Genomic DNA, 16,008 nt, shown 5'->3' with positions numbered 1-16,008 from the left:
ATCAGGCTTCACGCCTGCCCCTCCAGTACCTTCTGTATACTCTGCCTCTTGTTCTTTGTTTCCTTCTATTAAATAGTTTCAAAGAAATCTTCTGACTCCTTCAGAGCAGTCACATGTATTGTTTCTCCAGCTTGGAAGACTCTGTGAGATCATCTATGACTACAGTTTTGATGTAGGAAGGACATAATGATGGGGACTAGCTGGATGGGGACTGGGAGGGAGTGTCTTGGAATCTGCTCAAAGTTCCATGTGAATAACCCTCGTGGAAGATGTTCATGGTGAGAAGGACTGAAGGAACCTGCTGGGCTGTTCACCATGGAATACTACACAGCCAGAAAAAGGAACAAAATCATGCCCTTTGTAGTGACATGGATGCAGCTGGAGGCCATTATTCTTGGTGAATCAACACAAGAACAGAAAACCAAATTCTGTATGTTCTCACCTGTAAGTGGGAGCTAAACTTTCTCTATTCCTTCAGGCCCTGCCCTCAGTTTCCCCTTGACTCTGCTCCTGTGCAGATCTCAACTCAGTCCTCATGTCCCCAGGGAAATCTTTTGATGCTGCCTCCACTTGTCCCCATCAATTTGCATGCTGACTGGATTTGTGTGCCTTGCCTGCTTCCTCAGGAGGAGGGAGTGTTTTGCTCACAGTCCTATCGCTGGCACCTAGTCCTATCACCAGCATCTTGACATGCAAATAAAGACTCCTAAAGTGACACGCGAATAAAGATTCAGTGAGTGAAAATATGAACACCTCACTTGCCTGCAACACTGCACCTTGTGATGAGGCTCTTCCCTGTTTCCTTCTTCTTGAAAGATCTCCTCTACCTTCACTTCCTAACTCCTGTTTTCTGCTCTACCACCTCACTGCAAACTGTCAAAAGTGCCCTTTCTGTGTGAACCCATGGCACCTCCTGCGTACCCCTGTCAGAGCTCTTATTTTATTCTGGTGTAATGACTCTCTCCCTATACTAGATTGCAAACTCTTGAAAGGAAAGGATTGTTTATTTACTATCATTCCAACAGTTTGCACTGAGTATTAAGCTTGTTAATATTTTTTGAATAAATGAATGAATGGACTCATGCCTCTTTCACTATTATTTTCTGATTATAAAAGTAACACATTTCATACCTGGATATGGTGGTATGTACCTGTAGTCCCAGCTGCTCGGAAGGCTGAGACTTGAGCCCAGGAGTTCGAGTCTGTGGTGGACTGTGATCACACAAGTGCTTTCCAGCTTGGGTGACAGAGTAAGACTCTGTCTCTAATAAAAATAAAAAAGAAATTGTGGGCCAGGCGCGGTGGCTTACGCCTGTAATCCCAGCACTTTGGGAGGCTGAGGCGCGGGCAGATCACGAGGTCAGGAGATCGAGACCATCCTGGTTAACGCAGTGAAACACTGTCTCTAACTAAAAATACAAAAAATTAGCCGAGCGTGGTGGCAGGCACCTGTAGTCCCAGCTACTCGGGAGGCTGAGGCAGAAGAATGGTGCAAACCCAGGAGGTGGGACTCCGCCTCAAAACAAAACAAAAAAAAAAAGAAATTACGTATAATGTTCAATCTTCTCTTCAGTATTTTCCTAGGCAATAGATTACTTGTCTTAGGTTATTTTGCTTTTAATGATTACAAAGTTCGACTGTATAAACAAGGAGATAGAGATCTTTCCACAGAAATCTTAGAATAATTTACCTATTTTTCCAAAATAAACAATTACTTTAAAAATAAATCTTTCATACATTTTTTGACTAAAAATTTTAATGGTATCCTTTTTTCCTAAGAAATGTTAGTAAAATAGTGGGTGCAAAGATGTGCTCTTCTATAATCATTTTTTTGGTACCTTTACCTCCCATATTTTATTAGATTTTCTTTCTTTGTTTCTTTCTTTTTTTTTTTTTTGAGATGGAGTTTTGCTCTTTTTGCCCAGGCTGGAGTACAGTGGCGCCATCTTGGCTCACTGCAACCCTTGCCTCCCAGGTTCAAGTGATTCTCTTGCCTCGGCCTCTCAAGTAGCTGGGATTATAGGCACACACCACCATACGTGGATAATTTTGTATTTTTAGTAGAGACAGGGTTTCACCATGTTGGCCAGGCTGGTCTCGAACCCCTGACCTAGGTGATCCATCCGCCTCGGCCTCCCAAAGTGCTGGGATTATAGGCATGGGCCACCATGCCCAGCCATTTTATTAGATTTCTGTGGAAAGATCTCTATCTCCTCATTTACAAAGTTTACACAGTCGAACTTTGTAATCATTAAAAACAAAAAAATAAGTCCCTTCCCCTTTGGTTTCTTAAAATTTACTCTTTATGGTTTATTTGATAACTCATTGGAACACAGTAAGCAAATATTTTCATCTCTATAGTCAGCATGTCTTTGCCATGTGGTGATGTATTTGCATCCCTTTGTCATTGGCACTGTTGTCACAATGTGGTCATGATTTCCTTTGAGCATTCAGTCTCATCTACTAGCAGTGGCTCTAACCCAAAGTAACCACCCAGGTATAATAGGTGGCCTTGATGTTATTAAAGAATGTTTTCCAGGAGTTTAAACCACAACACCTCAAAATTTTGCTTTTTAAAAAATTAGTTATATTCTCATAAGCAACTTACTATTTCTAAACATTTGTTGAGGACAACTAACTGCATCTGTCATCTGATTTGTGTGGGTCTGATGGGGAACGGACAGAGTGTGTGTCCTTTGATCCAGTTCTCTTTGTAAAGGGAAGTAGATAGTTACAACCTTGTTTTAGAGAGTTAACATGCATGAAATAAGAACAGTGTCCACATTGTCTTGTCATTACACTTTTATTGGAATGCTTGCTTTCTTAATCTGATCTGATAGCAAATATATTTTTCAAGAAGTGAGAAGTCTTCAAAATATATGACTATGAAATGAGACGGGAATTAAAACAACTAATGGTAATAGCATATTTTTCTGAAAAGTTACAGCAGAAAACTCCCAGAGTTTATTTTAAAAACTTTTTTAAAAACTCCCAGAGTTTAAAAAAAAAAAAAAAAGAGTTTATCAGGTGTGATTTATACCAGTCAAATTTGATTCTCTCAGTAGTGATTTTCTTTTTTTATTTTTTTGAGACAGGGTCTTGTTTCAAAACAAGATCTTGCTTTGTGGCAGTGGCACAATCACAGCTCCCTGCAGCCTTGACCTCCTGGGCTCAAGCGATCCTTCCTCCTGGGCCTCCCAAGTAGCTGAGACTGCAAGCGTGTACCACCATAGCCTGCTAGTTTTTTAATTTATTATAGAGACAGGGTCTTACTATGATGCCCAGGCTGGGCTCAAACTCCTGGGTTCAAATGATCCTCCCACCTTGGCCTCCCAAAGTGCTGGGATTACAGGTGTGAGCTACCACACCTGGCCTCCAGTAGTGATTTTCATTCTCTAGTATGAAATGGTATTCTCACTTTTGGATAAATAAAGGCAAAATGTAAACAGTTAATCTAGATAAAGGGTATGTGGGAGTCCATTGTATTCACATCCTTGCAACTTTTCTGTAAGTTTGGAATTAATGTCAGAATTATTTGCACCAACCTAATAATTAAAACTTACCCCCCACCCCCGGCTGGGTGCAGTGGCTCATTCCTGTAATCCCAGCACTTTGGGAGGCTGAGGCGGGTGGATCATGAGGTCAGGAGATCGAGACCATCCTGGCTAACACAGTGAAACCCCATCTCTACTAAAAATACAAAAAATTAGCCAGGTGTGGTGGCGGGCACCTGTAGTCCCAGCTACTCGGGAGGCTGAGGCAGGAGAATGGCGTGGACCCGGGAGGCAGAGGTTGCAGTGAGCCGAGATTGCACCACTGCACTCCAGCCTGGGCGACAGAGTGAGACTCTGTCTCAAAAAACAACAACAACAACAAAACAAAAACAAAAACAAACTTACCCCACCCCCAATTCTCACTTTTTTCTGAAAATAGATGCATTTATATTTTATTCAGGTTTTTCACCATTTCTAAAAGATTGACAGATATTCACATATTTATGCTTTTGTGTTGACTTTCATACCTATCATCTAATTACAGACTTAGCATCTGATCAAATTATTTTGGGAAGAGGAAGAGGGACCTTAGAGATACTTGGTTTCTGATTCTTTTAGTCCCGCACCCTTACTTTGCCCTTAACTTTTGCATCACAGAAGTTAATTTTGTAGTGAGTGCTGAAATCCTTTTACCATCCAACTTGGAATCCTGTTGGCTTTTTCTTCACACATTGCCTTCTTCATTAAGCTTTTACTTTTACCAGCATACTGTTTTCCCTCCTGAGTTATTGGCACTTTCAGCTTGCATTATATTTCTTCTGGTCAACTAGTAGAACACAGTTAAATCTTGAGATTACTAGTAGCAAATGATTTTTTAATTCAGATTTTTAAAATGTAACATATACATGAAATTGACCTCATCTGCTAGAAGCTGTTCACTTTAGACATGGTGTCATTTTGTAACACTTGGGAAAACTAGCTTCATTCTCCAGAATTGGAAACTCAAGTCACAGGTGACAGGTGACTAATCCACTTGTAAAGCTGTGAACCCAAAGCGTGGATTGGACTGGAATTCGGGTATTCGTGTTTGTTGTGAATGCTGATGGGAAGATAGCAGGGCAGTGTTCTCATCAGAGCTCCTATCCTCTCTGCATCTGTTTTTTCATCTGCAATAAGATGATGCCTATTCTGCCCTGTCCTAAGGACTGTTGTCAAACACATGGGAAAGAAGACAGGGTGATTGGACAATTATAAAAGGCTTTCATGTCTCATCTTTCTTTTTTCTTTATTATTTTGCATAGGATTCTTTTAGTTTTTCCAATTTTCCACTAAACTATTTGACCTTTTAATATCCTATTGCCACATAATTTTTAAGCTTGATACAACATGGTTATTTCTCTTATTTTTTATTGGAATTTAGGGTAAGAACTACTGCCAGTAATTTTAAACTGTTCTTAACTTTATGGAGACAGTAAGTTACCATGAAGTCATTGAGGATTATAATCTATTTAGGTTAATTTAATCTTAATCTTTTGTTTTGCAGTCCCAGGCTGTCCAATCTTCCTGGCTGGTCCCTGAAGGATGGAAATGCTTTCTTGGACAAGGTAATATCTAAGACTACAAACTAAAGCCTATCTACAGCCAGTGGAAAGCTATCTTCTCATACCAGAGCCACCCTGTAGTAGTGTGACTGATGGCTTTTTTTTTTTTTCCTCTCTGAAAATCCCCAAGATCTATGCTAGGGTCTTCAGAACATGGTAACTGCTGTTTTTAAGCATGTTTTTAGAGAATGTCATTGTTCTGATTCAGATCCATTTTGCTCATGTGTAGAAATCTAAGTACTTCTGCTGCAAATACCTTTTATCACCACAGAAAGACAACTATTATTTCTAGAATTGCAATGAGTGTTTCAAAGACAAGGCTTTTTAAAGAATTCAATCCAGTTCATTTTGTGATTGCAAAGAGTAAAACCTTTTTTTGAATAACTTTTAAAATCCTCAAGCAGGTGAGTTTTAAACTGCTTCTATCAAGGGTCAGATCAGGTAGGGCTTTGTAAAAAGCTTGGGTCTTTTTTGGGTAATGAGAGGCCACAGAAGGTTACAGAAGGACAGTGGCATTGTCAGATCGGATCACTCTGGCCACTGTGTGGGGAACGGTCCAGGAGCAGAGTGTTTGACTTCCCCAGCAGTGCCTTCTTGTGCAGGGGACAGTACTCTTAGGTAAATTTGAGTAGTGGGTCTCCGACACTATGATCTGTGATCCCGTTTCAACCTGTCCTGATAGCCTAGAATGGACAATCTTTATAGATGATTAAAAAAAAAAAACAGTTCTAGGACTCTGGGATATGGAGTCTTATTATGACTTTAATGACTGACTACACCTAAAATAAATGGCTTAAATTACTTCTTTCTCTTTGAGGCTATTAAATTTTTGACATTAGGTTATCTTCTCAGTAATTCCTTCCTCGGATCAATAGTTAGACAGTTAACTTAATAAATGAAAGACTAAAGCTACCAAAAATGTTACAACTATAAGCTAGTCAAACTTCGTACTAAAATCAGAGGTATAAGAAGGTTAAAGACTGTAAAGCCCCCTCAGGCCAATTCTTAGTCCCCTAAATCATTCTTCCTTTCCTAAGTTTCACATTTGAAAAACTAAAGAGTTTAAAGATGCTTAACATGATTCATCTAAATAAGGCATTTTCTCTTGTAATAGATACTGTTAAATAAAGAGGTGCCCTTTTTACAGAATTAATTCCTGTAACTGCACCCTAGCCTCAAGTACAAGCCAAATGCATAATTTGACACCAGATTTTCTTCAGAGCTGACTGTAAAATTATGTGACATTCAGAAACCTGTGCACCTGATTTCAGCCTGAGTCTCCTGCTGGCTATAAATCATTGTTCCCTGCAGAAGGCTCCGAAGCATCCCATTACCAGCGCATTGTGAGCGAAATGACTTGCATGTGTATGTGGGAGTATTTCATTAGAAGGGAGTGGTGAATAAAATACAGTGACATTGTAAGTGTTTGGAATGGCAAATATGCTTCTGCAGGCCGGGAAGGATGAGAGCCTGTGAGGAGACTTCATCATAGCCCTGTCCTGAAATGTAGCATTATGGGGAAGAAGATTACATAGCCCATTTAAGACCAGGCAAAGCTTTGAAATTTCCCATGATTTGTCTTTAATCATTTTTAACCTCATCCTAAGGGAGTGGGGAGTCTTCTCCCATTAAACATAATTGCTCATTTGTTTTTAGCTGGCAGGTACATTGTAATTAAGAACTGTGTTCAGTCTCCTTTCAGCTCCACCTGTCGCTAGTTAAATGGTACTCATCTAAGGAGAGAAACCAGAGAGTACAGTGGAAGGCAAGGGGAGGAAATTGTCTATCAAGGTTCTGATATGAGACTTATAAAATTCAAAAGGACCAGTACTATGTAGTCAATGCCCTATTTTCAGATAAAGATTGAGAGTAAAATCATTCAGACTCTGATGTGTAAATATAGATACATGTATATATGGATATGTACAATATATGTTGAGTGACTAATGGAAACATAATAGAAAAAAATTACAACAGTATCTTTCCCTTTCTGGAAAGAGCAAAGGAAACTCAATCACATTCTGTCTTTTACTGGTTTCAGTGTAAAGTCATAGGTAGCTTTAACCTTAATGGTGCAAAAAATTCACTGTGGACTTCAGTTTAAAGTCAGTGAGAGGAGAAAGCATTAGTGGCCTTCAGGAGGCATCGTAGCAGACCCTATTGGTAGCCCACCCATATCTCTCAGACTTTGCTGTTTCACTGTCCTCTGTCATAATTCCAGCTGCCGGTATCTGTATGGCTTTGCCTGAGAGTTTTTTCCTGAGGCTGCACAAAATGCAGCAGTTGGTATATAAACATTTCAGCCCCATTGCTCCTCAGTGGGATAACTCAGAGCTGTCTGTGTTAGACCATTTCTGAGTTTCCCCATGGGGATAAGTTCCAGTTGCCCCAAGTTGTATGTGGCTCAGTGCCATTATCTGTCACCTTCCTTTGCACTGATCACTTCTCCGTTCTGTTTTCTCAGCACCTCCCATATAAACTACCTTCTCTCAAACTCTTTTCTCAGGGTCAGCCTGTGGGGGAAAGACAGGTTTATTAAATTTGGTGAGTCATGGGTGGGGTGAGAAGTTGGACTATATCTATTTCTTTATACATATGCTTATTTCTTTTGAATAAATACATTTGGTTTATAATGCTAAATAAATGGTATGTTCTGCACGGAAAAACATTACATTCGTGGTGGCAGTGGTGGTTTTGGTGGAGGTGGTAGTAGTGGTGGTTGTGGTGGAGGTGGAGGTGGTAGTGGTGGTGGTGGTGGTGGAGGTAGTGGTGGTAGTCGTGGTAGTGGAGGAGGTGGTGATGGTGGTAGTGGTGGTGGTAGATGTTGAATCCCTGTTTCAGGCTCTTAACTCTCCCTCCTTACATCCCCCTTTCCTCCCAACCCTTGGTAGGTGAAGAAAAAGCTTCTAAACAGTTTATGTAGGGTTGTGACTCCTAACCTGACAGCATAACAGGATCACTGGAGGTGCTTGTTATAAATACATATTCCATGGCCTCATCCCCAGTTTCTGATCCCTTCAGTCTTAGATAGGGCCAGGGATCTTTTATGTAATCCATGTCCCCACATAATTCTGGTGTTGCTAGTACAGTTTGCATACCTTATTTGGAAACCACTGGATTGTGGGTTATGGGAGCAGCACATACCCATGCATGGCTTTCTTGAAGAGGTATCAAAAAATGTGCCTTCAAGTCCTGAGTCTGCAACCAAACAGCATTTTACCCTTAATAAGACACTTGGCCTGCCTAAGCCTAAACATAGGACAGTCGGCCTAATAACCTCCCAGCTTCCCTCCAGCTCTAGTAGTCTATGATTCTTCATGAAAAGTTTTGTTTGGGGAGTTTATTTCTTTGGTCCTGTATCTACTGGATATCTCTTCCTTGTATTTTTCCTTTTCATTTCTTTTAGGAGCTAAAGGAGTGCTCGGGTCATGTATTTGTGGATTCTGTGCCGGAATTCTGTTTACCAGAGGTAAGATTAAGGTGAATCTTATTGTAGAAACAAACCTTATTATGTAATTGCTCAAAATGAAGTCAAGAAATAATTTTAAGAGGCTTAGCTTCCTGTTTTCAAGTTTAAATGAATCTGTTATTCCAGGCACATTGTTACACAGCCAAAATGTCATCATTTAGCAGCTTTTTATATTGTTTGTAAATCATTTACGTCACTCTCTTCTTCCTATTTCCGGTTCTTTCTGTAATCCCCACTAATACTCCTAGTAGGGCATAGTTTTGAGCAAGGTAAGGAACTAACTCAAGCCTTTTAGTTTTGTGATTCTGATGCCTGTGTGCTTAGGTTAGCCTTATGTGTCCTGGTCTTGCTTTATGGTGGGTAATTGACAATTGCTAGTAAACTGTAAAAATTCTTGCTGACTTGAAATACCATATTGAATATTGTTTGAAATTCATAGATTCTGAACTGAGTCATAGAAGACAATCACTTACATATTATTATCACAGTGAGACTTGCTGTTAGGGTGTGGGGCCAGTTTCATCCTTTCAAAGGAAACTAAGATCAGTTTCCATTTGTTTTCAAGGCAGCTAATCTCAGCTGAGAGGCCTAATACCCAGAGTAGCCTAGGTGCGGTTCTTAACAGACATGTGAAATGTGGAAAGCCGGAGCTGCTCCCAGGTTCATGAGAAGCTGCCATCCTCTTTTTTCCTCATGCCCAGTGGATCGCAGTGCCTGTAGAAAATAGTTCCACAAATTCAGGACCAAAGAGAAAAAGAATTTGGAGTGCAGTTTCTCTGATTTTTGTTTTCTCTTCTTCCTTCTCTTTCCATTTCTACACTTTGTTTAATATCCTGTAGATCAACATTTTTATCTCTCTTAGAAGTATGTGTATGTGTCTTTGAGGGTACCAGAGCAAATAGAAAAAGAAACACAGACAAATGTGGTAATTGAAGGTGTCAGATAAGGGAGAAAGTTTGAGATTGAGTAGTAAGCGTAAAGCTGAAAGAATCCAAGAATCCAGAGCTCTCCCTCTCACCGTTAACCAAAGTCATTTTGTCATCCTTATTTGTGACTTAGGAATTGGTAGGGTGATTCCCCATCTGTTTGAAGATTCCTAATCCTAGGTGCTACATTTGTTTTCAGTTGACCACGTGTCACGCCAACTACTGCAACCTTCCATTTATGGACACCACTGTAGAATTTATGAATTGCTGTCCCGATGGCTTTCTGACTTGCTCTATAGGGTACTCAGCTTTTAAATTAGACAGTTACCATTCCACAGTTCATTTTTGCCAAGCTAAAGGATTATTGATATATTTAGGGTTCTAGAGCCATATACATTTTTTCAGGCAAGATGTTAGGGCACAAATTAGTAATAGTCACTGTTTTAAAGTAGAGCCAGGTCTTGTATGATTGGAAAAAAATGGGAGAGTAATGGAAGCAGGAGAGAGGCACTTATTATAGCCCAGTCTTCACTGACTTGTGGGTGAGCCATGCAGCCTTAGTCCCAATCCTCATGAAATTTACAAACTAGTACAAATAGCTTAAATATCTTTGTATCCCAGTACAGTACGCAACCAGTAAATGAGGGTTGTTTTGATTGAATTTATGGTCTGTAGAACCCCAAGTGTTTGTATACAGCAGTTTTAAAGATAGAGTAATCTTTATTGGATTCCATTAAGTGAACATATGTAAGTAAATATGTGAGTACAGTTGACCCTTGAACAATATGAGTTTGAACTGGGAAAGTCCACTTACATGTGGAGTTTTTCATTATGACAATTTGAAAAAACTTGCAGATGAACTGCATAGTCTAGAAATAGCAAAAAACTTAAGAAAACGTTAGGCATGTCATGAATGCATAAAATATATATAGAAACTAGTCTATTTTCTCATTTACCACCATAAAGTATACACAAATTTATTATAAAAAGAAAAATTTTTTTTTTGAGACAGAGTCTCGCTCTGTCACCTAGGCTGGAGTACAGTGGTGCCATCTTGGCTCATTGCAACCTCAGCCTCCTGGGTTCAAGCAATTCTCCTGCCTCAGCCTCCCGAGTAGCTGGGATTACAGGTGCCCACCAGCTCATTTTTGAATTTTTAGTACAGAGGGGTTTCACCATGTTGGCCAGGCTGGTCTTAAACTCCTGACCTCAGGTGATACACCTGCCTCGGCCTCCCAAAGTGCTGGGATTACAGGCGTGACCCACCACGCCCAGCTGATAATTTTTTTAAATTGGCTCTGTTCACAGGCTGGAGTGCAGTGGTGCGATCTCAGCTCACTGCAACCTCCGCCTTCCTGGCTCAAGCCATCCTCCCACCTCAACCTCCCAAGTAGCTGGGACCACAGGTGCACACAACCACACCCTGCTAATTTTGTATTTTTTGTAGAGATGGGGTTTTGCCTTGTTGCCCAAGCTGGTCTTGAACTCCTGAGCTCAAGCGATCTGCGTCAGCCTCCCAAAGTGCTGGAAGAACAGGTTTGAACCACCGCGCCCAGCTAAAAAAGTTAAAATTTATCAAAACTATGCACATCAACATTTACAGACCATACGTGACAACGATTTGCACTCAAAAGAAACGTAAACAAGCATTAAGATTCAGTATTTAATCATAGGCATAAAACTGTAGTACAGTATATAACTTCATAGCCACCTCCTGTTGCTGTTGTGGGGAGCTCAAGTATCCGCTTAAAACACCATGTGATGCCAGTCATCTCCATGTGAGCAGTTCCCCTCTCTGTAAATTGCATATTGCAGTAAAGAGTGATCTCTCGCAGTTCTCATGGATCTTGCGTCGTGCTTCATGCAGTACCATAAACCTTGAATAACCATGGGACCCATACGAAGTGCCACTAGTGGTGCTTGAAGTGCTCCCAAGAAGCAAAGAAAAGTCATGACATTACAAGGAAAAGTTGAAGTGCCTGATATGTAGATTGAAACCTGCAGCTGATATTGCCCGCCATTTCAAGACAAATGAATCCAGCATAAGGACCATTGTAAAAAAAGGACCATTGTTTAAAAAAAAAAAAAGAAAAAGGAAGAAGAAAAGAAAAGCAAGAGAAAATACATGAAGCTGTCACTGTAGCTACACCAGCAGGCATGAAAACTTGTACTTCTTGTGAAATACATTTTTACCTTGTATTAGAAATGCAGCTTTATGTGGGTGCAAGTCTACTATAAGAAAGGCATACCTGTAGACTCTGATGTGATTCAAGAAAAAGTGAAATCACTATATGACAAAGCAAAAGGAAAGCTTAAAAAAATGTCAAGATAACAGGAAAAGCAGCTTCCTCCAGCCAAGAGACAGCAGACAAATTCCTAGATGCCATTAAGAAAATCATTGAGGAGAAAGACTATCTGCCTGAACAGGTTTTTAATGCAGATGAAAGTGTCCTATTCTGGCAGAAAATGTCACAAGAAACATTTATTAGGAAGAGAAGTGAGTTCTAACACTTAAAGGAGGAAGGGATAGGCTAACTCTACTGTTTTGTGCAAATGCACTCGGGTTTTTTTTATCAGGACTGCCTTTACCTATAAAGTGGCCAACCCCTGATCCTTGAAGAAAAAAGATAAACAGCAGTTGCCAGTCTTTGGCTTGTACAACAAAAAGACCTGGACGGTGAGAACCGCTTGTCAGGATTCCATTGATGCTTTGTCCCTGAAGTCGAGAAGTACCTTGCCACTAAGGGACTGCATCTTAAAGTTCTTTCAGTATTGGACAATGCACTTGGCCACCCATAATCCCATGAGTTCACCTCCAAAGGTGTCAGAGTGGTCTAATGCCATAAACACACCATCACTAATTCAGCCTCTAGATCAGGAGGTCATAAGAACCTTTGAGCCTCATCACACACAGTACTCTATGGAAAGGACTGTCAACTCTGTCGAAGGGGACCCCAATAGAACATCATGAAAATCTGGAAGGATTACACCATTGAACCTGCCATCATTGTTACAGAAAGAGCCATGAAGCCTGAAACAATAAATAAATTCCTGCTAAACAAAACTGTGTCCAGGTGTTGTACTTCACAGGATTTAGAACAGAACCAGTCAAGGAAATTAGGAAAGAGATTGTGGATGTGACAAAAAAAAAAAGTGGGAGGTGAAACGTTTCAAGATATGGAGCTTGGAGAAATTCAGGAGCCTATTAACACACCAGAGGAGTTAACAGAAGATGACCCGACCAAGATGAGTGCTTCTGAACCTGTGCCAGATGATGAAGAAGGAGACATAGAAGAAGCAGTGCTGGAAAACAAATTGACATTAGACAGTCTGGCAGAAGGGTTCTGATTATTCAGGACTGCTTTTGATTTCTTTCACAACTTGGATCCTTCTGTGATGTGGGCACAGAAACTAAAATGGTGGAAGAAGGATTGATACCATATAGAAACATTTTTAGAGAAATGAAAACGTGAAAACATCCAACAAATTACAACATATATCTGTAAGCACTCTGAGTGTGCCTGCTTCTCCTGCCTTGCCTTCTACCTCCTACACTTCTTCCCCTCTGCCACCCAAGACAACAAGACCAACCCCTCGTCTTCCTCCTCCTCAGTCTGTTTAATGTGAAGATGACAAAAATAAAGACCTCTATGATGATTCACTTCCACTTAATGGATAGGAAATGTATTTTACTATCACTAAAGTACATTTACTTTTCCTTATGATTTTTTTTGAGATGGGGTCTCACTTTATTGCCCAGCGTGAAGTGTGATGGCATAACCATAATTCACTCCAGCCTCGACCTCCTGGGCTGAAGTGATCCTCCTGTCTCAGCCTCCGAGTAGCTGGGACTACATGTGTGCAACACCATGCCTGGCTAATTGTTGAAACATTTTTTGTAGAGACATGGTCTCACTATGTTGACCAGGCTGGTCTCAAACTCCTGGCCTCAAGCAGTCCTCCCACCTCAGCCCCCTAAAGTGCTAGGATTACAGGCATGAGCCACCACATCTGGCTCCTTATCATTTTCTTAATAACGTTTTCTTTTCTCTAGCTTATTTTATTGTAAGAATACCATATATAGTATATATGCAAAGTATGTGTTAAATATGTTATTCAGGAAGGCTTCTAGTCAACAGGCTATTAGTAGTTAAGTTTTGGGGGAGTCAAAAGTTATTTTCAACTGTACAGTGGGTCAGCACCCCTGACCCCTGTGTTGGTCAAGAATTACCTGTATATAAATGTGGTTTGGATGTTAAATTTCTCAGAGGAAAAATGTTTTATGTAAGCATACACTCTTGATATATACCAACAGAATAATTTTTTATTTTTTATAATTCTAGACTCTGTGGGCTGGTTCTTAAAGAGAAATTTCAAGTTTTCTCACCCAGTTTCTGTACACATGAGGACTGGTGGTGATGATTTTTAGCTTTATTGTTGCTTCAGTGTGATTCACATTGTTTTCTTCTGGATCTATCACTGTGCTACCCTGTCTTAATTTCCTTATTTGTTTAAAAATGATGCTAGGGGAGGTAGTGGAGAGTAGGACCAGCAAACAGTTACGTGGTCCTTCATGAGGAGGACACTGTCTTGCAAAGGCAGTGCACAACTTGGGGTGAAGGTTGGGATAGGTTGGCTGTTCATTAGGCATGGTGTTCACACAGATGGCAGTACCCTGGCACTGAGTGGCTTATGACCTCTGCTGGCATCCTGTCCTCGGGGGCCGATGCTGCCTGGCAGCTTTATTAAGTTACTCGTTTTATTTGTAAAGTTACTCAGCTGGAAAATACCCATAGCCAGAATGGCACCCTCCCTCTCTTCATCTGCTTATGTCACATCATCTTTCTTTCTTTTTTTTTTTACTTTATTTATTTTTTTAATTATACTTTAAGTTTTAGGGTACATGTGCACAATGTGCAGGTTAGTTACATATGTATACATGTGCCATGCTGGCGTACTGCACCCATTAACTCGTCATTTAGCATTAGGTATATCTCTTAATGCTATCCCTCCCCCTCCCCCCACCCCACAACAGTCCCCAGAGTGTGATGTTCCCCTTCCTGTGTCCATGTGTTCTCATTGTTCAGTTCCCACCTATGAGTGAGAATATGCGGTGTTTGGTTTTCTGTTCTTGTGATAGTTTACTGAGAATGATGATTTCCAATTTCATCCATGTCCCTACAAAGGACATGAACTCATCATTTTTTATGGCTGCATAGTATTCCATGGTGTATATGTGCCACATTTTCTTAATCCAGTCTATCATTGTTGGACATTTGGGTTGGTTCCAAGTCTTTGCTATTGTGAATAGTGCCACAATAAACATACGTGTGCATGTGTCTTTATAGCAGCATGACTTATAGTCCTTTGGGTATATACCCAGTAATGGGATGGCTGGGTCAAATGGTATTTCTAGTTCTAGATCCCTGAGGAATCACCACACTGACTTCCACAATGGTTGAACTAGTTTACAGTCCCACCAACAGTGTAAAAGTGTTCCTATTTCTCCACATCCTCTCCAGCACCCGTTGTTTCCTGACTTTTTAATGATTGCCATTCTAACTGGTGTGAGATGGTATCTCATTGTGGTTTTCATTTGCATTTCTCTGATGGCCAGTGATGGTGAGCATTTTTTCATGTGTTTTTTGGCTGCATAAATGTCTTCTTTTGAGAAGTGTCTGTTCATGTCCTTTGCCCACTTTTTGATGGGGTTGTTTGTTTTTTTCTTGTAAACTTGTTTGAGTTCATTGTAGATTCTGGATATTAGCCCTTTGTCAGATGAGTAGGTTGCGAAAATTTTCTCCCATTTTGTAGGTTGCCTGTTCACTCTGATGGTAGTTTCTTTTGCTGTGCAGAAGCTCTTTAGTTTAATTAGATCCCATTTGTCAATTTTGGCTTTTGTTGCCATTGCTTTTGGTGTTTTAGACATGAAGTCCTTGCCCATGCCTATGTCCTGAATGGTAATGCCTAGGTTTTCTTCTAGGGTTTTTATGGTTTTAGGTCTAACGTTTAAGTCTTTAATCCATCTTGAATTAATTTTTGTATAAGGTGTAAAGAAGGGATCCAGTTTCAGCTTTCTACATATGGCTAGCCAGTTTTCCCAGCACCATTTATTAAATAGTGAATCCCTTCCCCATTGCTTATTTTTTTCAGGTTTGTCAAAGATCAGATAGTTATAGATATGCGGCGTTATTTCTGAGGGCTCTGTTCTGTTCCATTGATCTATATCTCTGTTTTGGTACCAGTACCATGCTGTTTTGGTTACTATAGCCTTGTAGGATAGTTTGAAGTCAGGTAGCATGATGCCTCCAGCTTTGTTCTTTTGGCTTAGGATTGACTTGGCGATGCGGGCTCTTTTTTGGTTCCATATGAACTTTAAAGTAGTTTTTTCCAATTCTGTGAAGAAAGTCATTGGTAGCTTGATGGGGATGGCATTGAATCTATAAATTACCTTGGGCAGTATGGCCATTTTCATGATATTGATTCTTCCTACCCATGAGCATGGAATGTTCTTCCAT

General features: G+C 40.3%; 1 protein-coding gene across 15 annotated transcripts in view; it reads left to right on the top strand.

Annotated features, from left to right (window-relative positions):
* Positions 1 to 16,008, top strand: part of INTS9 (integrator complex subunit 9) — a 122,309-nt gene that overhangs the window by 34,659 nt on the left and 71,642 nt on the right. For 9 of the 15 annotated variants that reach the window (XM_047421955.1, XM_011544576.3, XM_047421957.1 and 6 more), the window contains 2 exons: positions 5,038 to 5,098; positions 8,502 to 8,564. In XM_047421955.1, the coding sequence (XP_047277911.1) occupies positions 5,038 to 5,098; positions 8,502 to 8,564 (124 nt within the window). The remainder of the gene's footprint in view (positions 1 to 5,037; positions 5,099 to 8,501; positions 8,565 to 16,008) is intronic. The other 6 variants (NR_026826.3, XM_047421958.1, XM_047421956.1 and 3 more) reach the window with 1 other exon arrangement.

The sequence above is a fragment of the Homo sapiens genome, chromosome 8 (genome assembly GCF_000001405.40).
Source record: "Homo sapiens chromosome 8, GRCh38.p14 Primary Assembly".
Classification (NCBI taxonomy): domain Eukaryota; kingdom Metazoa; phylum Chordata; class Mammalia; order Primates; family Hominidae; genus Homo; species Homo sapiens.
This window is presented reverse-complemented; position numbering and strand designations above follow the sequence as displayed.